The sequence below is a fragment of the Homo sapiens genome, chromosome 17, assembly GCF_000001405.40.
Source record: "Homo sapiens chromosome 17, GRCh38.p14 Primary Assembly".
Taxonomy (NCBI): domain Eukaryota; kingdom Metazoa; phylum Chordata; class Mammalia; order Primates; family Hominidae; genus Homo; species Homo sapiens.
In genome coordinates this window covers 20,236,218-20,259,771 of record NC_000017.11, presented here as the reverse complement: position 1 = coordinate 20,259,771, position 23,554 = coordinate 20,236,218, and the positions used below count along the sequence as shown (strand labels likewise).

The window sequence follows — 23,554 nt, the reverse complement described above, 5'->3', positions numbered from 1 at the left end:
TACGAGCCAAGGGAAGAAGATCTCTTGAGCCCAAGAGTTCAAGACCAGCCTGGGCAACATAGCGAGACCCCATCTTTAAAAAAATAAAAAATAAAAAAATTAGCTGGGCATGGTGGTGTGCATCTCTAATCCCAGCTACTCAGGAGGCTGAGAAGGGAGGACTGCTTGAGGCCAGGAGTTCAGGGTTGTAGTGCACTATGACTGTGCCACTTCACTACAGCCCGGGCAACAGAGCAAGACCCCATCTCCAAAAAATAAAATAAAATAAATTTTAAAGGTGCATTGGAAGGGCATATTAAAAACACCAAATATCTTGCCATTGTTTATGTCAATAACGTAAGTGTAAAATTGAAATAAGAATTTTACTAATTTAACTTTTCATTAAAAAAGGTAAAATATCAATAGCATATTCATATACATATAGCCTTTTTGTATGCATTTCTGGCATAAAGAAAACGGCAACTTCAGAACAGCACTAATTCTGGTCCTTAAAACCTCTTTTGATTATTTAAATCTCTTGCACATAAACAGGACAATATGTAGTATCTGGGGCTTTACATTAAACTTCTGAAACACATGACTTCATCTATTTGGGTCCAAATATATGCTGTACCCAAAGGTGTAACAAGACCTGAATTTATTCAGACTTTTATAAATCCTTCTATAATACCCATATTTGTGATTATAAGATTTATTAAAAAGCTATTACTCCTAAACTAGCCAATTTTGTATATTAATCCATCTACTCACTCGTAAGTTTTACTAAGTGAAATGCTATGTGTGTTGCACAATGCAAGGGGCTGGAAGAGATACCAAAATGTAAGTTGAACTTTTACTGTCAACTAAATTATAGCATAAATGGAGACAATGGCATGTACTGTGCAACAGTGTTCCACACTACAAAGCAGTACAAAAACTAAACACCCAAAAAAGTGTAAGACGCCAAAGTCAGAGAAGGGATATGTCAATGTGCCAGGTGTTAGGTACAACTTCATGAAAGGTTTGACCTTGAAGGAGAAGCAGTATTTGGAGTATGAAAGGAGAAAAGAAAAACGATTCAGGCTAGAACCTTATACATAAAGACTTGCAATCAGACATGGTCATGTTCTATTACAAAGGCAGAAACTAAAACAGGCTCAGGTGGAGGGAGGAACAGGGCCATTCTGGCAGGTGGGTGGGGTGGTGCTAAGTTGTGGGGCATCTAGAAGACCAGGATGAGGAGTGCAGATGACAGAGTCATGTGAGATTTCTGCAAGGTCTGCAGCAGGATGTGCTCAGTGCATCAGAAAATTAACCAACACAGAGAAGCAGGGAAGTCACAAGGGGAGAGGAAGCAGCTGAAAGAGGTTTGCTGTGGCCTGGGCGACCAGGGGCACTGGAAAGGGAGGAGGTGACAGAGGTGTGGGAACAAAGACAAGCTCTTAGTGACCACCCTGCTGGTCTTGCCATCCTCTCCCTCTGCCAACCATTCCTTTACATCCCTGTGACAGTCCTTCTTAAACACTGATTTCAAAATGCCTCTTCAATCCTTATATACCACTGTTTTCTGATGAATCCTCCTTAAAATGCAGGTCCAATCTCACTGTACAACCTCAAAATCCGAAACAAAATCCCACAAACTTGGTGGTACTCCAGTGCTTTACCAAAATAATGCACAAACCTCTTCCTTAGCAATGAAGACTACTTACAATATGCCCTCCAGATGGAATGTCCTAGTCACTTATCCATCCACCCAACAAATACTGACAGAGAGCTTGTTATGCATATGTACAGCAGAGTCCCGGCTCTCAGGAAGCCCACAGACTAGTTCAGACACATGACACCACCCACATTCCCTGATCACTATTCCACAGCGTGCTTGTAATGGTACCTTTAGAGCCCTTGGCAGAAACACCACTTCTCTCTAGACTTCTTGATCCAACTAACAACCTCTCAAGACTTTGCTTATGCAGTATTGTTTTTTACAGCCCTTAATTCCATTTTGCGCACTACTACTATCCACTGTCATCCTTTTAGACTCACCAAGGGCAGGCACAGTGTCTTAGTCATTTTCATGCAGGAAATATTTGTAGAAGTAAATTGGCCACGGGGACAAAACGGAAGGAAGAATAAAAGGTGATTAGCCCGATGTTTTTCTGATTTCTTATTGTTTGAAACACGATACCTGAGTTTGCTTTGTGGTTTCCATGCCCGGGTGGAAGCACTCAGCAGTCTTGTGTCCCCAAAGCCCAGAGACGGGGGTCTGCTCAGTGACTCTAGTGAGGGACTCTTGCGGAGGTGGGGGTCTGGCTTCAGGGTCTCAGTCCTTCCCTTTAGAATATCTGTGGGAACAACCACATAATCACTCATTCCCAAAGAAGCAGCTCTTGACTGCCATCATACTTCATTCTCAAATACAATACAGTTCTCATTTTATCCTCAAGTGCAAACATATATATAGTTTCTGAAGTAATAAAAATGCAATAGGGATGTGGATTCTACAGGCAGGACCACTACATCATTTACAGCATCTAGCACCAAATCAACCTCCTGCTCAAAAATCACTGTGAATTTCAAGATGATGTCATCAGAGCATTACACCAAGCATGTGTCCTTCTAAGGGCCTTGTGCAAGTGCCAACGAAGCCAGCCCTGTCCCCAGGTAGTATCTTTTGTTTTAACTGACAGACATCTGAGAGAGAGTGGCAGGAAAATGCCTCAAGTGATGATCAGACCACAGGCAGCAATAAACAAGAAGCTGGGAACCAAGAAGAACTACTTGACAAGAGAAAAGGCCATTCTAGCCATAGGGCCTGGCTTGCTAAACAAGAAGTAGGAATCACTCTTTCAAGGCTCCTTTCTGCTGTCATATTAGTCTGAGTCAAAAAACAGGTAATGAAATGAACTGAATCCTCCAGATGATACTTGTTTTTCTTTTTCTCTTCTAGAGACAGGGTCTTGCCGTGTTGCCCAGGCTGGATTTGGACTTGACCTCCTAATGATCCTCTGTCTCAGCCTCCCAAGTAGCTGGGACTACAGGAAAGTGCACCACCATGTCTAGCCAGACTATATTTCTCAAAGGACCATAAAAGTGCGGAACAGGAGACATCTTTCGAGACTGTCTAGTTTATATTTATAGAGGAAACTGGAGCTCAGAGAACTAAGTGCCTTGTTCTAAGCTACAGAGCAGACCAGGGACCAGGATGAGCCCACAGTTGCCGCCCATGACCTGTGAATAGTCACAGAAGAAAGTAATCCTTCCACAGCTCACTGCCACCAATTAGGGGCAGTAAAGTTGGGAGTGAGGCTAGTCAGCTCTAAATAGCAGAGAAAAACAGTATTTACATCCAAGGGAACAACAAGAACAGCACATTAATCTTTGGTTTCTGCAGCTTCCAATGACCTCAGTGTTGACAAGCAATTCCTGGGGATTGCTAGAAGCAAGTAATTGTCACTGTAATCCTTTGCTGTAATAACAGTAAATATAATCATCCAAGCAGACAGGTGCCTGGTGGGGGCTAAGTAGGGAGGGCTGTCAATGAGATATTAACTGCAGAGCAATAAGCTATTGTGGTCTCAAGTTCAGTATGTACCGTGTCAACTAAAAGAATGGTTTTGGCCGGGTGCAGTGGCTCATGCCTGTAATCCCAGCACTTTGGGAGGCCGAGGTGGGTGGATTACGAGGTCAGGAGATCGAGACCATCCTGGCTAACACGGTGAAACCCCATCTCTACTAAAAATACAAAAAATTAGCCGGGCATGGTGGCAGGCGCCTGTAGTCCCAGCTACTCGGGAGGCTGAGGCAGGAGAATGGTGTGAACCTGGGAGGCAGAGATTGCAGTGAGCCGAGCTCACGCCACTGCACTCCAGCCTGGGTGACAGAGCAAGACTGCATCTCAAAAAAAAAAAAGAATGGTTTCTTGGCCAGGCATGATGGCTCATAACTGTAATCCCAGCGCTTTGGGAGGCCAAGGCAAGAGGATTGCTTGAGGCCAGGAGTTCAAGACCAGCCTGGGCAACTTAGTGAGACCCTGTCTCTATCCCCCCACAAAATTTTTGTAATTAGCCAGGCATGGTGACATGCACCTCTAGTCCCAGCCACTTGAAGGCTGAAGCAGGAGGATCATTTGAGGCCAGATGTTTGAGGCTGTAGTGAGCTATGATAATGCCACTGCACTCCTGCCTGTGTGACAGCAAGACTCTCTCTCAAAGAAAACCAGAAAGAATGGTGTCTCTACACAATAGAAAACTTTAAGGCTAGTGGAACAGAGAGAAGAACAAATATTATCTACCAAAGGCTTACCTAGTTCACTTAAAAATGGTTGATAAGGTAAATTTTATATTATGTGTCTTTTACCACAATTTTTCAAAAACCCCACACCTAGCACTATGCGTGTCATCAAATTATTCCCTCTTTTGTGCTACACAGCAAGCACGGAGATGGTGAGCCAAGTGGGCTTCCTGCTGTGCTCTGGTCTCCTCCACTCCCCTCCTAGTATGGGACACTCAGGCCTGGTCTCCTGGAGCACGTACTCTCTCATTTCTCTACCTCCACTGAACTCTGTTTGTTCTTACACTCTTGACTTTACACTGGCCTTTGGTCTTCATTTCCTTCTGCTGGGAAGTCACTATCATGACTTGGAGTCCCACGTAAACTTTCACCACTTTAGAAAGCTATTACTCGAGCAATCACCAGCCTCAGCACCAAGAGGCACATGGTAGAAAGAATCAGGAGACTTCCTGGCCCCACAGCCATCCAAAATCGCTGTAGCCTTTATAAGTCACTCAATTTCTGTAGGGCTTGAATCTCTCCCATGTAAAACTCGAGGAATGGGCTCAGATCATCTTCAAATTCTCAATTGTCAGTGTTTACCCAACTCTAAAATCCTTATTTAATTCCATGAAAAAGCAAAGAAGATTCAGAGGGGAAAGTTCCCTCATAGAAACAACTATTTTAAGAACAAGCCTGATTGTGTTTGACCAAGATCTAAAGGAAGTACAGCTGTAGAAATTTTATTTTATGCTTAGAAACAAAAGGATTTCTGTCCATGTGACCCAGACTTTTGGCTTTCTATCCCTTCTACAGGGACCAGTAAACAGTCCATTCAGTGTTCTTTTTGCCTTTTTTATTTCCTAACAGTCACCACATAGACACATACATAGGTTCTAAGCCCCGTATTCTGGACAACCTTAACTTCCCACTAGGCTTGAGCACTGTTGTCCCTTTAGTTCTGGGCAGGCGAACTGGGTCAGCAGAGAACAGCAGGTGAGATGTGCACAGTAAACACTTCCACAGTGCTTGCCACACACCCAGCATGTTCAAGGCGCTTTAATGTGCTAACTCAATCCTTGATACAATCCTAGGAAGTGGACCGGATTATTTCCGTTTTAGAGATGAGGAGACTAAAGCACAGAGAAGTGGGGTGATGGGGCCAAAGCCAGGCTGAGCAGCAGTACTGAGACTCAAGCCCACGTGTCCCTTCTTGAGGGCTGCTTCACATCAGCCTGTGACACAGGAAATATGACGCCACGCAAATGTGATGGATGGGGACTGCTGGGACTGCTGAATGCAACCTCCACTTTACAACCAGGATTGGAGTTAAAACAAAAAACAAATACACACACACACACACACACACACACACACACACACACACACGGTGTAACAACAGGAAGAGGACTGCACCAAAAGACAAATACCTTTAAAGGGGCAAATTTTAAGAATTGCAGAAGTAGCAGACAAATTCAAAATCAGGTAAGATTTTTTCCCTTAGTTACTTTTTAAAGATTAGAAAATATGCTCTTGAGGTTCAGTTAAAAAACAATATGCCAGGCACAGTGGCTCACACCTATAATCCCAGCACTGTGGGAGGCCGAGGCAGGAGGATCACTTGAGACCAGGAGTTTGAGACCAGCCTGGGAAACAAAGCAAGACCATGTCTCTGAAAAAAGGAAAAGAAAAAAAAAATTGGGCCTGTCTCCCCAGCACAAGGGCACTGAGAAGTGCAGCTGGCAGGAGACACTTTTTCCTTTTGTCAGCTGCACTGCTGCATCTAACATTCATGATATGTACATTATTCGGGGTTGAAATCACTTGCAAGAAATGCCACTGATTATTTTTCTAAGCTCAGTTTCATGCAGAGAAATGAAGAAAAGTTAACTGCACGGAAAGATAAGTCAAAAGTTCTTTATGTTGACATAATTTACCTGAGAGGGGAAGGTCAGGAAGGTCCAAGCGTTGAGTCACCCCTCTGCTGGCTGGCCGCACACTGCTGTAAGTCGAATGCCTCTGTAAAAACCAGGGGGACACCAGCACGGTGAGCTCATAACATCAAGAATAGCACAAACACAGATGTGTGTGTGTGCATGCGTGTGTGTGCAACAGTTCTTAAACACAGTGGAATAACCAGGGGAGTTTTTAATTAACTCATTTATTTGAATAGGTAATACATGCAATAGACACTATCCCCAAAAGCAATGAAAAGGGCAAATAATGAAGAGAAAGTCTCCTTTTCCTTCCCATCTCCCAGTTCTTCTCTCCAAGGGCAATCATTATTAATTGGCTTTGTGAATATCTTTCCTGGAATGTTCTATGTATATTCAAGGATGTGTGTATAAGTATTCTATTTTTAATGGTTAATAGGTATATGAAAAGATGCTCAACATCACTAATCATCAGGGAAATGCAAACCAAAACCACAGTGACACGCCACCTCACATTTATTAGGAAGACCATCATCAAAAAAAAAAAACTGAAAAAGAACAAGTATTGGTGAGGAGGTAGAGAAAATGAAACTCCTGTGTACTGTTAGTGGGAATGTACAATGGTGCAGCCATTACGCAGAACAGTATGGAGGTTCCTCAAAAAATTAGAAATAGTACTACCAAATGATCCAGCAACACCACTTCTAGGTATTTATCCAAGAAAATTGAAAACAGGATCTCAAAGAGATACTTGCACTCTCTTGCTCATTGCAGCATAATTCACAACAGCCAAGACGTGGAAGCAACCCCAGTGTCCACCACCAGATGAATGGACGAAGAAAATGTGGTATAGAATATACAATGGAATATTATTCAGCCTTAAAAAAGAAGGAAATCCTGTCCCATGCTACAACATAAATGAGTTTTGGAGACATTATGCTAAGTCAAATACACCAGTCACTGAAGGACAAGAGCGGCATAACTCTATGTACGTGAGGAATCTAAAGTAGTCAAAATCACAGAAGCAGACAGTGGAGTGGTGGCTCCCAGAGGCCTCAGGGAGGGGAAGTGGGGAATTGTTCCGTGGATACAGAGTTTCAGTCAGGCAAGATAACAAAGTTCTAGAGGACAGAAAGATGGCAACAAGAGACACTGGGGAGTGCTAGAGGAGGGGGAGGCAAGCACTGAAAACCTGTTGGGTACTATGCTCACTACTTGGGTGATGGGATCAATCATACCCCAAACCTCAGCATCCCACAATATATCCATGTAACAAATCTGTACATGTACACCCTGAATCTGAAATAAAATTAAAAATTTAAAAAAAAATTTTTCTAGAGACCTGCCATACAATATTGTGCTTCTAGTTAACAATACTTAAAAATTTGTTAATAGAGTAGATTTCATGGTGTATTTTTTTTACTGCCATTTAAAAAAGCATTTCAGAATGCAAGTAAGCATGATATTATTCAAGGAAAAACCTTGAAAAACACCCTCTGTTTTTCTAAAAACACAACTGTTATCATAGCATTATATTGTTTTGTACACCATTTTGCTTCTTTCACTTACTGTATCTTAGAAGTCATTCTATACCCACCATCACCCACCATCTTGGCAGCTTCCTCTGAGAAGTGCCACAAGAGGCCAAGTAAGTGGCTCTGGGGACAGATGGCACCACCCACCTGTGAGACTCTGGGTTACTTAATTTTCTGTGCCTTATTTTCTTTATTTATAAAATGGCAACGATACTAAACGTACTTACCTCAAAGGGTTATGGGAGGATTAAATGAGTTAAATCCAGTTAGAACAATCAAAACACAGCCCAGCAGATAGTAAGCATTCAGTAGATCTTAGCTATTTTCATTACCATAATTTATTTTACTGATTCTCTATTGATATTCATGTTGATATTGATATTAGGAACAATGCTGCAATGAACAACCTGGTACATTTGCCTGTGCAGGGCCATTCTGAGGCTTTCCAGAACATTATTTTCTCTTAGAGGCTCTACTTCATAGCATATTAAACACAATTCCATGTATCCACATCCCACAAAAATATAATGGTCGTGGTATACAGTTTTCAAAAGTAGTTTTAAATCTTGCTTTTGAAGTTGGCTGAACAAAAGTGACAATATGGGGCATTCCTATCCCATTCACAATCCTGTGGGAAAGCATCCGATATTTCACCATTAAGTATGATGTTTGCTGTAGATATATAATACAGACCCTTTATCAGATTAAAGACTTTCCCTTCTATTCCTACTTTTCTAAGAATTTCCATCAAGAAAGATATTAATCTTTATCGACTACATTTTCCTGCCACCACCTACTAAGATGACCATATGCTTTTTTTTTTTTTTTTTGAGATAGAGTCTTACTCTGTCGCCCAGGAGTGGAATGGCAATGATCTCAGGTGACTGCAACCTCCGCCTCCTGGATTTAAGCCATTCTTGTGCCTCAGCCTCCCAAGTAGCTGGGGGTTACAGGCGTGCACCACCACGCCCAGCTAATTTTTGTATTTTTAGTAGAGATGGGGTTTCGCCATGGTGACCAGAGTGGTCTTGAACTCCTGGCCTCCAGTGATCCACCTACCTTGGCCTCCCAAAGTGCTGGGATTACAGGCATAAGCCATTGTACCTGGCCAACCATATTCTTTTTATACCTTTGTTAATGTGGTGAATTACTCTGGTTGGCTTCAATATTAACCACCTTCCATTCCTGGAATAAACCCAACATGACATGATCTTTTTCATGTGTCTCTGAATAAGGTTTTCCAAGATTTTGTTCAGGATTTTTGCAAAGAGGTTCGTGAGAAAGACCTTTTAATTTTCTTGTCTATTAATGTTCTTGCAACTATTAGGGATCAAAGCTATGCTGACCTCTTTCCTAGTCTCTGAATTTACGTAAGATTGACATTATTTCTTCCTTAAATGTTTGGGAGGTTTCATGGTGAAGCCATAAGGCCCTGGCATTTCTTTTAAGGAAAAGATATAAATTATAGGTGATTGAGATTTTCTACTACTCTCTCCTATGTAAGTTTAGCACGTTACATTTTTCTAAGATTTTGACCATTTCATCAATATTTTCTAATTTATAGCACAAAGTAGTAATATATAATATTCTCTTACTATTGCTTTAATAATTATGAAATCTTTAGTGATGTACCCATTTACAAATTCCTGATACAGGTAATTTTGCATTAGCTTTTCTTGTCAGATGTTTTGAATTTTAATAGTCTTTTAAAAGAACAAACTCCATGCAGAACTCCTTTAAATAGTCTTTTCACTGCAAGTATCCTAGGAAAAAACATCTGGTTTTGTTGGACTCAAAGCATCTTTCTTTTGTGTTCACCTTTGAAGGGTATTTTCACCAGGTACAGCACTTTGAAGCATATTTTCATGAGGTAAAGGAAAGCAGGTGTTTTCTTTCAGCATTTTGCAGATGCCACTGCATTGTCTTCAGGGCTTCCATCATTCTTCTTGAGAAGAAAGATGTCAGTTTTGCTCTTCCTCCTTGGACATTGAGGTATCTTTTTTCTTTTGGGTGCTTTTAGGATGCTTTCTCTTTCATTTCCAGCAGTTTTAACCTCATGTGTCTGGGTGGTTTTCTTTGTACTTATCTCACTTGGGGTTCTTATTGTTTCTTGAATCTGGGCTTGACATCTTTTATCAGTTTTGGAAATTCTTGATCATTATCCCTTCCAATATCACTTCTGCTCTTTTTCTCCCCTTTTGGGGACTCCAATTACACATGAGATTTTTTTATTCCATCCCATATGTTTCTTATGTCCTTTTCTCTATTTCCTATCCTTTTTCTCTGTGCTTCAGTTCAGATATTTATACTGACTTGTCTTCAGTTCTTTAAGCCTCTCTTAAACTGTTTAAGCTACAGCTAAACTTTATTGAGTCTTTAATTCAGGTATTTTATTTTTAAGTCATAAAATCTCTAACAGATTCTTTTTTATACATTGTGGTTTTCTGCTGAAATTCTCTACCTTGTCACTTATTTTGTTGACAGCATTAATCTCAGTTGTTTTAGGGTCTATGTCTAATAATATCAATATCTGAATCTTCCGTGTCTGTTTCTATTGTCTATTTTTTCTCTTGGCTTTTCATCATTTGGTATTATCTATTTGTATGCCTGGTTTTTTGTTTTATTTTATTTTATTTTAAGATGGAGTCTTGCTCTGTTGCCCAGGCTGGAATGCAGTGGCGCGATCTCAGCTTACCACAACCTCTGCCTCCTGAGTTCAAGTGATTCTCCTGCCTCAGCCTCCTGAGTGGCTGGGACAACAGGCACACACCACCATGCCCAGTTGATTTTTGTATTTTTAGTAGAGACGGGGTTTCACTATGTCGGCCACCCTGGTCTCGAACTCCTGACCTCGTGATCTGCCTGCTTCGGCCTCCCAAAATGCTAGGATTACAGGCATGAGCCACTGCACCTGGCCATGCCTGGTATTGTTTAAAGTTACTATATAACGTTGTATTTTTTAAAATGTGGCTATAATTTAAGGATCTAGATGGTGTAATTGTCCTCCAGAGAGTATTTACTTCTGCTTCCAGAAGGCAGTTAAGATAGGGGAAGAATATCTAAATCCAAACCCATGTTTCTATGGGTTTTAAGACTGAAGAAATAAAAGACTTCCTTAAGATATTTAGGGAGAATATTTTAATCATCTAATAGCTAGAAAAGACATTTTAAGGCAGGAAACAAAACAAAATCTTAAAACACAACACAAACATGTAAAATTTCTCTTCAGTAAAAGATAACTATTAATATGACATTAAAAGATAAAAAAGGTAATACAATTACATATGAAAAAATGTTAAAAAGCACAATATATCAATACTTCTTACAAAACATAAACAGACTAACACTTCAAAAGAAAAGCAGGCAAAGTATGTAAGTTTCCACACCGACACACAAGAGATAAATGGCCTATAATCATACGAAGAAGTGCTCCACCTTACTGATAAAGTAAAACAAGATATTATTGTTCACTTACTTGATCTTCAAAAATTATAGACAGTGTCAAAATTCTTGGAAAATAGTACTGTAAGCGGGAGGGCAAACTGAAGGGCAATGTGTCTATCAAGTTTTTCGACATGCTGGAACAGGTCAAATACATTTCCTTTTCTAGGACTCCATTTTCCTTCACTAGGAATCAATTTGTAGAAGATCTCAAGACGGGCTCACTCAACTCCATCCTCATCTCCTTGTAGGGCGACTTATTGAACTATAAGGGACTGGGAAGCTAAAGGGTGTACTTGGCAAACTCCTTTAAAGCTTGGCTCATCAAGTGGCCTAGCTTCTGTCAAACAGGCCCCTTCTCAGAGGATCTGGAAGGTGCAAGGGAGTGTAAGGCTTCCCTTCTGCAGCTTCTCCTGGTAAACATGGCTGGGAAGGCATTCGCTGTTCTGTGGCAGGGGAGCAGAGGTTCTGGGGTCTGTTCCACCGTTTTCTGGTCAGTATGGGGCAGGCACAGAGTGTGCTTTTCTGGCATGGACTGCACCTGTGGCAGTGTAGTCACCAGGCTGATCCTAGATCTTGGTAGCAGTGGCAGTCCTGGGTAAGCACTTAGAGAAAGACTTCCCGATTCTGGCAGAAACAGAAGCTCCTTTAATGGGCCAACTTTCAGATGCTCTGGGAACCTTTCCTGGAAGCTCAGTGCAGCCTAGACCTTTCTCCAGCCCTCAGTACCAAAATCCCTGTATTAAATTCCTTTCTGCTTAACTACAGTCATCTCTGATACTTACAAATGAATCTTGATATACCCTTATTTAAAAAGTAGCCCCTTAAGTGGTCAAAAATTTGTATCAGTATCTTCACTGTATTATTTTTTGTAATAAGTTAAATCCAAAAAAACCTAACTTCTATCAGTAGAACAGTGGCTAAATAAATCACCACATATTATGTAATCTTTTATAAAAAGAATCGTTTCTGCAAATATTAAAATTTGAAAACATATTCCTTCATTCATTTAATATTTATTGAACTTCTACTATAATGTGACCATGTGCCAACCAGTGTTACAGACAAGAGATAAAACAGCAAGCAAAATGAACAAAAATATCTGACCTCATGAAGCTTACATTCCGATGATAAAGTGAAATAAGTATTGGAATAATGCATAGTGCAATCCAATTTACAAAACACATACTCTACACACACACATACACACACGGACACTAATATGTGTAAAGAAAAACATCTAGAGGGATACACAGCAAACCATAAGCAGTGGTTATTTCTGGGGCTCATCTACCTGCATTGGAGAGACAGCAGCTGCTGGAGCAGTCCTCACTGGTATCCCACTTAGGGGACTTCTGGGGGTCTTATGGACAGAAATATTCTGTCCAGCTCCACCTGCCAAGAAAAAACATGGGAACATTTATATGTTGTTCCACTTCAAAATAGCATATACTTGTTCCTGATTTCTTGTTACTTTTTTTGGTGGCTTAAGGAGTATCCGTGTTTAGTGTAATATTTACTCTATTATCCTTTTCTTCTCCGGACTAGAGCTGCTTTGGGGAAACAAGAAGGGAAGATTTAGCTGAGTGGAGGTCAGTCTTAGATGAAGGATAGCTGAGCAAAAAGAAACTGTATAAATAATGAGATGCCTAGAGAAGGAAGGAACAGAAAAGTTCTTGTACAAATTGTTAATTCATTTCCTGTCTTCACAGACATGAAAGGCTTTCATGTCTTTGAATATGTAGAGTCTAGTCTTAATCTAATTTAGGTGCAAACAATTTTAGCAGAGACAACCAGGTACATCCTAGGATTAACTTTTACTACAGTCTCCCAATACAATGGCATGTTTGTTGCACTCTGGGGAAGAAAGATATTGTTACTGTAGACAGATGCACATTCTGTTTCTTCTATTTGCTATGTTTATGTGTACAGTATATGTATGAAGTATAGCTACGCATCTTTCTCATATAGGAAGATAAGCATGACTAAAGGGGAATTGTGAGACCATCAGACAACACCAGGAAAAGCTGGGAACACACCTAGATCAGGAGTGACAGATTAGCACAGGTGCTCACGTACAAGACCAGGTAGAAAAACGTCTAGCAGGTTGCAAGATGGGGATGGCCAGGGGTGCCTCCAAGAGGGCCAGGTGCAGAGATGTGATGTCTCGTTTCCTAGGAGATGAAGTCTCCAGCTGACCCTCATAATTCTCATGAGATGACAAAAAGGCAAATAGTAGTGACCTGAATTTAATGGCTATGAGAGGCAGAAAAGAAAGGTAGCAAGGCAGGAACTGGATGGAAGGAAGCGGTAGAGAGGAAGAGGCTGCATTTGTGTTATTCATGAGCCAGGCTCTCCATCAGTGCCTCCCTGGAGCCTCAGCCAGGCTCCTGCATGCAGTGGCTGCACGTGGTAGGACCTGGAAAGCGCCCTTGTGGTTGTAACAACACAGGGCCAGGGTGGAGTAGAGATAGTAGACATATCAAATGTCGGGCCAAAGTTTGAATTTGGAGCTTTGCTTATAGAAAAAATGATTAAATACCTGGGCGTCCCAAGTCAAATGACTTGATAAGTGACTTAACGGTGGTTGCCGACTCTGGGGGTGTTGGAGATGTTCTGCTAACACAGACACCAGGCCACCGACCAGCAGCATCGACCTCAGAGGACTCTGGCTCTTCATCCACAGGTCTGCATGGCAAAGAGCAAATCAGATTGAAAAGATGGAGGACATCCCCATGGGAGAAAAAGACACAGAGGAAAACAGAACTGATGTGGAGAAAATAAATGAAGCTGGAAGGGAAATTCTGAATTTAACATCCTGTTTTCTCTACCAGTTTGCATCTTTAGGAAATAATGTAGGCATTGCTCTCAATTTTTAGAAGAGCTGTTTTCTTGGGAAATGGTCAGAAATAATTATTTTTATATGTAGAGTGACTTGATATTAGCTCTAAATAAAAAGTGTGTATGGCTACTCTGCAAATTGTGCATTTTTTGTGAAAAAATGCAAATGTTATTGACCATAAATATTTCACCTACTGTCAATGGTGAATGCAGTGGACCGGCTGCCGACATGTGCTCCAACCCCCATGCAGTACACAGAGTTTGGAAAGATGAAATCTCACAGCTCTCCTACAGCTGGGATTTTGGGTGTGATTTAAGTTCCACCAATCAGAAAGACTTGGGCAAGACCTGGAGTGGGACCTGAATCAGAGGAAGAGAGGCAGGGCACCGGGCATTCACTATGTAGACAGAGACTGTAGCAGAGACAAGATGCTATGGTGCTGGCAACTGTGGTGGCAGCTTTCCAACTGGGTGGGCAGCTTTCTGAAGTTAAGGCTCCTGTCCTGGTGGAGGGAGCAGGTTCCCTGGTGGTCCAGTTGTGTGTGGAGACTTTGGGAGCTGCTCCTGGAAGCTCAGCCTTCCCAACAATTCTGCAAACCATTTAACACCTTTCTGCCTAAGCCAACGAGAGTGCAATCCATTATACACAACAGAATCCTGATTCAGACACTCTGACTTCTAAGCATAAGAATGGTAACAGCACTCTAAAATCACACTGCAATTCTGCATGAGGTGAAGCTCCTGCTCTCACCCAAGTTTCCTGGTGTGTTCTTCATGAGGCTTCTAGACTCATAGAAAGCATTCTATGATAGATCATTGACCCAATCCTCAATCCTCTCAATGCATGGCTTCCTCATATAGGGGACTTTGGCATGTCATGTGATCTCCCTGTGAAGGAGCCAAGACAAGAACTCCCAACCTTCTCATTGCTAAATCACTGCTCTCTTCATTGTATCATATTGCCACAGCTGTTTTGCAAGATGACTAATTTATGATAATAGTTCAAACAGAATGTTTCTGGAAGTATATTTCAATAAGGTCGGTGGAAGTTTAAAATAAATCAGTAAATAAAATAGTTATTTACTGATCATTTTCAAATTAATCTAGCTACTACTCATAAGCTTCTCCAGTTGAATTTGTCTTTAATTCTCTAAGCTTTCTTCTGTTGCTCTGTAAATAACATGAATAGAATAAATTTAAGAGAAACAGAACTTAAAACAGTTAAACCACACTGCCTTACAATCTTCACTCCACAGTCCCTTCTTATGAGTGAAAAAAAAAATCAGTAAACTGAAAACTTCATTGGAAGAAATTATCAGGCACTTCAGAAATTGTAGGAGGTTGGGTTTTTAAAATAATTTTTAAATAATTTTATTGAGAGGAACTGGTTTTCATACTTTCCCATACAATAAAATCAGGTGGCAAAAATGCAGAAAGAAAAAGAAATCAGGTTAGGTTTGAGCAGAAAATAATTTCCTCGGTCTGTGCTAGCCATTCTCATGAAGGTCATCAACAAACAAAATGGGCCACCTTTTTTTTGTTCTGAGACAGAGTCTCGCTCTGTCGCCCAGGCTGGAGTGCAGTGGTGTGATCTTGGCTCACTGCAACCTCTACCTCCCAGGTTCAAGCGATTCTAATGCCTCAGCCTCCTGCGTAGCTTGCTGGGACTACAGGCAAGCACCAGCACACTTTGCTAATCTTTCGTATTTTTTTTTTTTAGTAGAGATGGGGTTTCGCCATGTTGCCCAGGCTGGTCTCAACCTCCTGAGCTCAGACAATCTGCCTGCCTTGGCCTCCCAAAGTGCCAGGATTACAGGCATGAGCCACTGCGCCTGGCCACCTTCTTACCAGTCCATTTAAATGACTCAGTACCAAAGGCCCCCAAGGACAATCATTTTAAATAATTCATTTTACATTTCATTCTTTGATAATTTAATAAGAACAAAATGGAGACGCCTACATTCTGCTGAGGTTATTCCTTTCAGTTATCTAAATTTATCTGCAATTCAAAATATCAAATGATAAATTTAAAAAGCAAGGCCACAAGAATCAATTACCTCAGGCTTCAGGTATCCAAAGATGGTATTTCAAACACTAAGTCTACTTGGCCAGAACAATAAGAGTCAGTATGAGAAAACCCTGTATAATTTGAGAAGAGAAATACCCACTGTGTTATGTAACAGTGGTATGTGTGTGTGTGTCTGTGTGTCTCTCTGTGTATGTGAGAGGGATTCACAAAACATAGCCTGAATTGAATAACCAAAGAAAATGGTTATTAAGAATGCTATTGGCTTATTAGTATGTACTTAAATCATAAATGAGGCTGAAAATCCTTACACCAGCCTATTTTAGAATTGGCTGGGATCAATTAGTAACAGCCTCAGCCATAAATGAAGTCTTACATTTCCTCTGTTCCAAGGAAGAATAAAAACTCTGTATTCTATAATGAATATTAAGAAATATGTAAGTATACAGCCAGGTATGTCTTAGCATTAAATAAAAGAAAAACTGCAAGGTACCACTACTGGAGAAACACTTGTTCAAGGCTTGCTACTGCCTCTAAGGCTGATGTTAGGTTCTAAAATCAACCTGCAAAGTAATAATCACACATGTAGTCAAATAAACCATGAAAATAATTTGAGTCACTCAAAAGTACATGCTTTTGTAAACATGACTGTTTACAAACACACCAACTCTCCAGAAGTCTCACATACTTGCATTCCCTCCAGCATTTCATGATTGGCTCTTTCTTCAGTTACATCACACATTAAATAGGTGCTTAGTGTTTAGGGGCCATGCTTAAAACAACAAAAATGAAGCAAGTATTCTACCTGCTCCCAGCATATAAAACTGGGATAATAATCGATAATTTCAGCAAAACAAATATGAATGTGTATAACTCCACTGTATATGCCAAGCACAGTACCATGTGTCTTAAAAGCATTATCTAATTTAATTTTCAACAAAACTAGATATTATTATCCCTTATTTTAGAGGAAAATTTGACCATGGTCACATGATTCATGAATGGTGAAACTGGGGTGCAAATCCAGCTCTGGCCACGCATTTCTCAAATTTTCTATAATGCATAAATGTTCTGTGAGAGATATACAAGGTTCTAGAAATAATACTGATGGTATTTCTTCCTAAATTTTAAGTACATTTAAAAAATACTACCAAGTTATTTCAGTGTTCCTATCTTTATACAATAATCTGCTCTTAAAAGGCGGCAACCCATACTAGAGAACAACAGTTGCAGGCCAGATACTAGAGAACAACAGTTGCAGGCCAGACCGCCTGATGCTGTGTCACACACAGCAGGTGATGCACACTCCATAAGCAGACAGTGTCTCCATGGAGCACAGCAAGGCACATGGCCCTCCTCACTGAATGTCGGTCTGCCTTCCATGCCTCACCTTGTCATTTAAGCACATATACATACATGTCTCTAATTATTTCCCTTTAAAACTTTTATTTAACCTCTCTAATTTGCTGCTTTCCTTGTTATGTTAGAGAACAGAGTTTTCAAATGTCAGTCATGGTCTACAGCATTTACTTCCTAAAAACAGCACTTTATGTCATTGTTCATTCTGATCCAGGAACAGGTGAGCTCCTGTACATGATGATTTTTAAAGTATTCAAAGGTTAACTCCATTTGGGTAGTGTTGTATGGCACCACTGCTACCTTCACAATTGGCAGATTAATATTTGTGAAGAGGGCGGGTCGCATGTCAACCACATGCTCACGCCTGCCGGTCTCTTTACTGAACACCTGAACAAAGCCCAACCCCAGGTCTTTCAGTTAATCTCCCAAGACTCCCCTCTGCCCATCTAGTTTTGGACTATTCACCTGAAGTTTTTTACTTTTATGCCCTGCCTCTGTGCCTTTGCTCATTCTATGCCCTTGCCTGGAATGTAATTTTTTCTAAATACTTATTTTGCATAAAACAAATCTAACAGAAGTTTTTCACTCTATTTGAAGACAGAAATTATGAAGTACTTTGTCTCTTAGGTGTCAAACAATATCTTCTAAATTTCACTTTCAAATTTCAGTAAAAGCATATATAACAATAAAAACAAACAGGATAAGAAAGTAATTTGAACACCAGCATCATAATCTACAAATCCCAACAATAAGAATCAAATAGTAAAAGTCCTGTAGTCGAGTATCATTGACGTGGCTTAGATTCTGAAGAATTTCTGCTAATAGAGAGTACACGGTCGGGGGAATGAAAATACAATACCAAGGGCTTTCCCTCAATTCCCTTCCAAAGAAAATGGAGATATGGGAAAACCCCAACTAATGTCCCCCACCCTAGAGGGCCAAGGCTGGAGAGGAGCATGAGAAGCCCAGAGAGATGCACGGCGTTTTGGCAAAGGATCAGGAACAAGAAGAATTTACATCCGAGAAGGCCAAGGTTGGTTTACCCTAGGCATAAAGGGCAGTAGTGACAAGGGGCAGGATAGGAAGAGCCACAGTGTGCACCTAAAATGGATGAGGGGCACGCAAAGAGATCCAGAGAGCTGGCTCTGCGTTCCAGGCTCACCAGGCAGAGAAGAAACTGGGTACAGGTGAATTTCCCAACTAGGCACTCACCCTTCTCTACTCTACCTGGGCTTCTGTACCTCCAAGTATGTAATACAAATGTACCTTCAAGAGCCTCCCAACACGTTTAAGTCATGAGAAGAAGATCAGAAGCACTGTCAGGCAAAGGCAGTGGATCTGAGCAGAATTCAGACACGGACCTGGGGCAAACGTCAGGCCCTGCCACACCTGGATCTGCTTCAGCAAGAGAAGGTGACAGGCAAAATCATGCCCTGCTCGATGCAAACAGTTCATAATACAAAGTGAAGGGGAAACTGCACTCAAGAGAGGACTGGCGTTTGTAAATTCATGACTGGAAACAGAGTTCAACACTGATACTGTCTGCCTTAAAATTCAATAAAATAAAAATTTTAAATGAAAGGATGAGTTAAAAGTAATATAAGCAATCTAATAATCTATGAATATTTTAAAGCAGAGCTAACTCAAAAGAGAAAGAAATGGGAGCACATCTAGGGCAGGTCTCTCTGAATGTGGATGACATAAACCATGTAAAGGTGGGATTTCAATTCAGTGGACAAAGGATGACTCTGGTAATAAACAGTGCTACCCAGTGGGAGAAAAAGAACCACACCTCACATCAGATTAAATAAAGAGAGGTGGATCAAATGGCCTGCATATGTGTGTGCATCAAGTAGATGAAGACATTTAATAGCACATTTGTATAATACTGGGGAGAAGGAATCTTAAAAAAAAGAGTAAAGGAAAACACTAACAGTTTACATAAAAATATAAAATTTTCTATGATAAAGATAAAGCCATATCACATGAAAAATATGATAAAGGCTCATAATATAGGGGATACAACCGTATCCCTAATAAAATACTGACTTATAAGCTGATGAGAAAAAAACAATCAGCTCAGTGAAAAAGCAGGGAAAAGTTGCAAAACTAGTAATTCTTAGAAGAGAAAATGCAGTGGTTAGTAAACATACAAAGATGTGCTTAGAAAGGGCTGGGCATGGTGGCTCATGGCTGTAATCCCTGCACTTTGGGAGGCTGAGTTGGGAGGATCACTTGAGCCCAGGAGTTCGATACCAGTCTCTCTGTGCAACACAGTGAGACCTCGTGTCTACCAAAAAAAAAAAAAAAAAAAAAAAAAAAAAAAATTAGCTGGACATGGTGGTGTGCCCCTGTAGTCCCAGCTACTCAGGAGGCTGGGGTGGGAGGACTGCTCAAGTCCAGGAGGTTGAGGCTGCAGTGAGCCATGACTGTACCACTGCACTCCAGCCTAGGTGACAGAGTGAGGCCCTGTCTTTAAAAAAAAAAAAAAAAAAAAAAAAAAAAAAAACTCAGCGAAATGCAAATTAAAGTGCTAATAAGATAGTATTTTTTGATTATCCTATTGGCAAAAATATGATCAAGGCTCTCCACTACTGCTCAGGATGTATACAGATGGGCATGTTCAAGAGTGAAATGTCACAGCACTCAGGTGAGTAATTGGAGACATCTATTAAAATAAAAATGTGCATATACTTTAGAGCAGCAATAGTATTTTGAAAAACCCATTCTATAAAAATAAAACCACAACTACATAGGACTATATGAATAAGGACTGCTATTATAGCATTACTCATAAAAAAAAAATTATAACCTTGTTGTGCATTAGTAAGACAATATTTTAATATTCCAGGACATATCCTTCCTATGGAAGGTCATGTTGCTCTTAAAATAAGATAGATTTCTATGTATTGACCTGGAAGGATGCCTATGATATGATAAAATAAAAAGGTGCAGAGTACTGAAAAGAATATAATCCAATTTTTATTAAAAATATGAAAATGAACCCTATACATATTCATGAGTAAAGAAAAATGTACACACTGTTAACACTGATTTCCTCACAGGTGGTACTGAGGGAGAAGAAAGATTAATATTTTTCTTCACACGTCTCCATTTTGTTATTAGTATACCTAAATAATACTTCATAATTAAGAAAAAATCCAATACATTAAATCATCAATCTATTCATATTTAAATGTCAACAAAACACATCTAGACTTTAAGTCCATGCTATATTTTCTGAGACCCTAGAGTTTTAAAAATTTATGCAAAATTAGCATTTTTACTCCATGCCCTTTTGTTCTACTAATGAAACTGTTCATATTCCATGTCAACCTCCTATTTACAACTTACATCCAGCTTTTTTCTACCTCAAATTCTAGTTACTTGATGTGACTTTGAAGTTCTGAAACTGTATTCAGAAAAAAATGTAGAACAAAACGACATAAAGGCCCTGCAGAAACGTAGCTGGTGATTAAAACTAAGCAGCAGACGCTTCTATATAATAACATGTTTATTTTGCACTTCATAAATGCTTACAGATAAAAATATTCAACAGTACCTAACGACAGGTCAAAATATAGGGTGCAAATACAGCAGTGCCTTTTAAGTTGAAGTTGCAGTTTTCTTATTGTTTATACTTGAAAACATCCAGCAAATGAATTTTAAATAATCCTAAGAACTCTGAATCTGAGGTAAAGAGTGCCCAAAATATAAATTTCAGTCCTATTCACAAGTATCTAAGTAAATTTTACAGAGAAGACCTCAATGTCTCTTCTCACGCCAAGCTAATTTTTCTAATGATTCTGTGCTGTCCAGTTTGACACCCCAAAAGATCTTCCTGAGTTTAAAGAGCATTCCTGTTCCTAATTTTCCTTTTATTAGACAGTAACTTTTGTCTTGTCTCATCCTTTGGATAACGTCACTAATGGCTCCATGCTGTGTACACTGTGAACCAGTTCCTCATGTGAGGATTGCAGAAGGTTTCTGCCTGATGGAGGTTGCTGAATTGGATTTGGATCTTCACAAACACACATATTTCCAGAAGTTTAAAATCACATTTTGAATTGTGTATCACTCTGATTTGAACACTAAGTTTCTGGGGTGAGTTTCATCCATGAAACTTTGGTGTAGTTGTCATTCAATCGTTTTCCATTAGATTTCTATTGCCATTGTCACCGTGCTTACCTATCCGGCTTAATAACATCCTTTATGATCAAACTTCTACTTATGTTTAACCCAACAAGATTCTGGAAATCAACCCAAAGCTTGGAGGCACCTTGTTTCAGACGAGGTAATGAAGTCAGACTCCAAGTGAAGGGGCTCAATCAAGACCCCACAGAAGGGGCCAGACATGGGGTCTCAAGCCTGTAATCCCAGCACTTTGGGAGGCTGAGGCGGCCAGATCACTTGAGGTCAGGAGTTCGAGACCAGCCTGACCAACATGGTGAAATTGCATCTCTACTAAAAATACAAAATTAGCCAGGAGTGACGGCACATGCCTGTAATCCCAGCTACTTGGGAGGCCAAGGCAGGAGAATAGCTTAAACCCAGGAAGCGGAGCTTGCAATGAGCCAAGATCGCACCACTGCACTCTAGCCTGGGCAACAAGAGTAAAGCTCCAACTCGCCGAACCTTCTGACTTCTTCGGAATGTGACATCACGCAGATGGCTTCCTATTTTGCCTTGAGTAATGTGAATTCCAAGATGATCAGACACCACGATCAAAAGGAAGCAGAGAAATGAACACCAAAAAGTAGAACTTGGGCCTTAGGTTCTGGGTGCGGTGGCTCATGTCTGTAATCCCAGCACTTTGGGAGGCTGAGGTGGGGATCACCTGAGGTCAGGAGTTCAAGAGCAGCCTGGCCAACACGGTGAAACCCCATCTCTACTAACAATACAAAAATTAGCTGGGTGTGGTGGCAGGCGCCTGTAATTCCAGCTACTTGGAAGGCTGAGGCAAGAGAATCACTTGAACCCGGGAGGCAGAGGTTGCAGTGAGCCGAGATCGTACCATTGCACTCCAGCCTGGGCAACAAGAGTGAAACTCTGTCTCAAAAAAAAAAAAAAAACAAAACAAAACAACAACAACAACAACAACAAAAAACAAAAGAACTCGGGCCTGCGCTGTACCCAGCTCTGCATCTGCTCTGCCACTGTGCCCTTTTCAGCACTCCAGCTGCAAATAACTTTTCATAAGACTTGTACTTTGTTTTTTTCAGAACTTCATTTTATTCTCCAAATAAAAGACAGCTCAATCTTCTGAGGAAAAGTAAAAAGAGGGAAACATCATCTTTGATCATGCAGTAAGCTGATCCCAAAATGTGGACAAAAAGCAGAGACTCGACGGCAATGACTCTGAGAAACAGAGAATGTCACAAGGAGACAACTGGGCTCTTTATAAAGAGGCAATTTCTCCTCTACACATTCCCCCTTTCATCTAGAGATGGCTGCGGCTCCCAATCATGGCAAGAGCTGGGCTGTCTTTCTTCCACCAAATGCTCTGCTAGCTGACAGAGCCCAGGGAGCTGTGAAAATAGAAACGGGAGGGAGAGGCTGTAAAGGAGTTACCTAAGGCAATACAGTCTTAGTTCACAAACGCAAGAATTTCCAGCTTACACTGTCCCACAGGGAAAAGCTAATGTCCAGGATAGGCCAACAGATTTTAAGTCCTACTGTTCCAATTTTTTGGAAGCCAAAGGTTTTCAGACATAAAAAAAAAAAAAAAAAAAGCCAGACTGCAAATGCCTGTACTAGGCTCCTCCACCAGAACTTCTCCAGCAAAGAACTGTGTGGTGAAGCAGAGATGTCCAGGATGAACACCATAGGCCCCTCCAGAATTTACAGAGGCTCATGCTTCTCTCTACTGTCAAGGCCAAAAACCTTCTTGCTTTTATAACTGCAACCTAAAAATCCTAAAGGCCTAAGGGAAGCTTATGTCCACATTGTTGAAATCTGTAAAATCAGGGGTCAGAGAACAGGGAGGCAGACACAGCTCTTTAGAATTATAGACTGTGTGTCTAATGTCATAAATGTACATTTAAACTATGAAAAAAAGAGTACTAGGTGAGGGAACAGATAATGCTAGCTGGAATAAGAGCACATTGAGAGGACCAGGTTCTGCATCAAGGGCCAAATTAAATGCTGGAGACCCCTGTCCATCATGCCGT

General features: G+C 40.6%; 1 protein-coding gene across 34 annotated transcripts in view; it reads right to left on the bottom strand.

Annotated features, from left to right (window-relative positions):
• SPECC1 (sperm antigen with calponin homology and coiled-coil domains 1) overlaps positions 1-23,554 on the bottom strand; it is a 309,668-nt gene that overhangs the window by 59,255 nt on the left and 226,859 nt on the right. For 25 of the 34 annotated variants that reach the window (NM_001386083.2, NM_001386078.2, XM_047437065.1 and 22 more), the window contains 4 exons: positions 13,701-13,846; positions 12,453-12,553; positions 6,186-6,267; positions 2,165-2,321 (listed from right to left, as the gene is read on the bottom strand). In NM_001386083.2, coding sequence (NP_001373012.2) covers positions 2,165-2,321; positions 6,186-6,267; positions 12,453-12,553; positions 13,701-13,846 — 486 coding nt within the window. Of the gene's footprint in view, positions 1-2,164; positions 2,322-6,185; positions 6,268-12,452; positions 12,554-13,700; positions 13,847-20,341; positions 22,913-23,554 lie in introns of those variants that run through there. The other 9 variants (NM_001386084.1, NM_001386079.1, XM_017025325.2 and 6 more) reach the window with 2 other exon arrangements.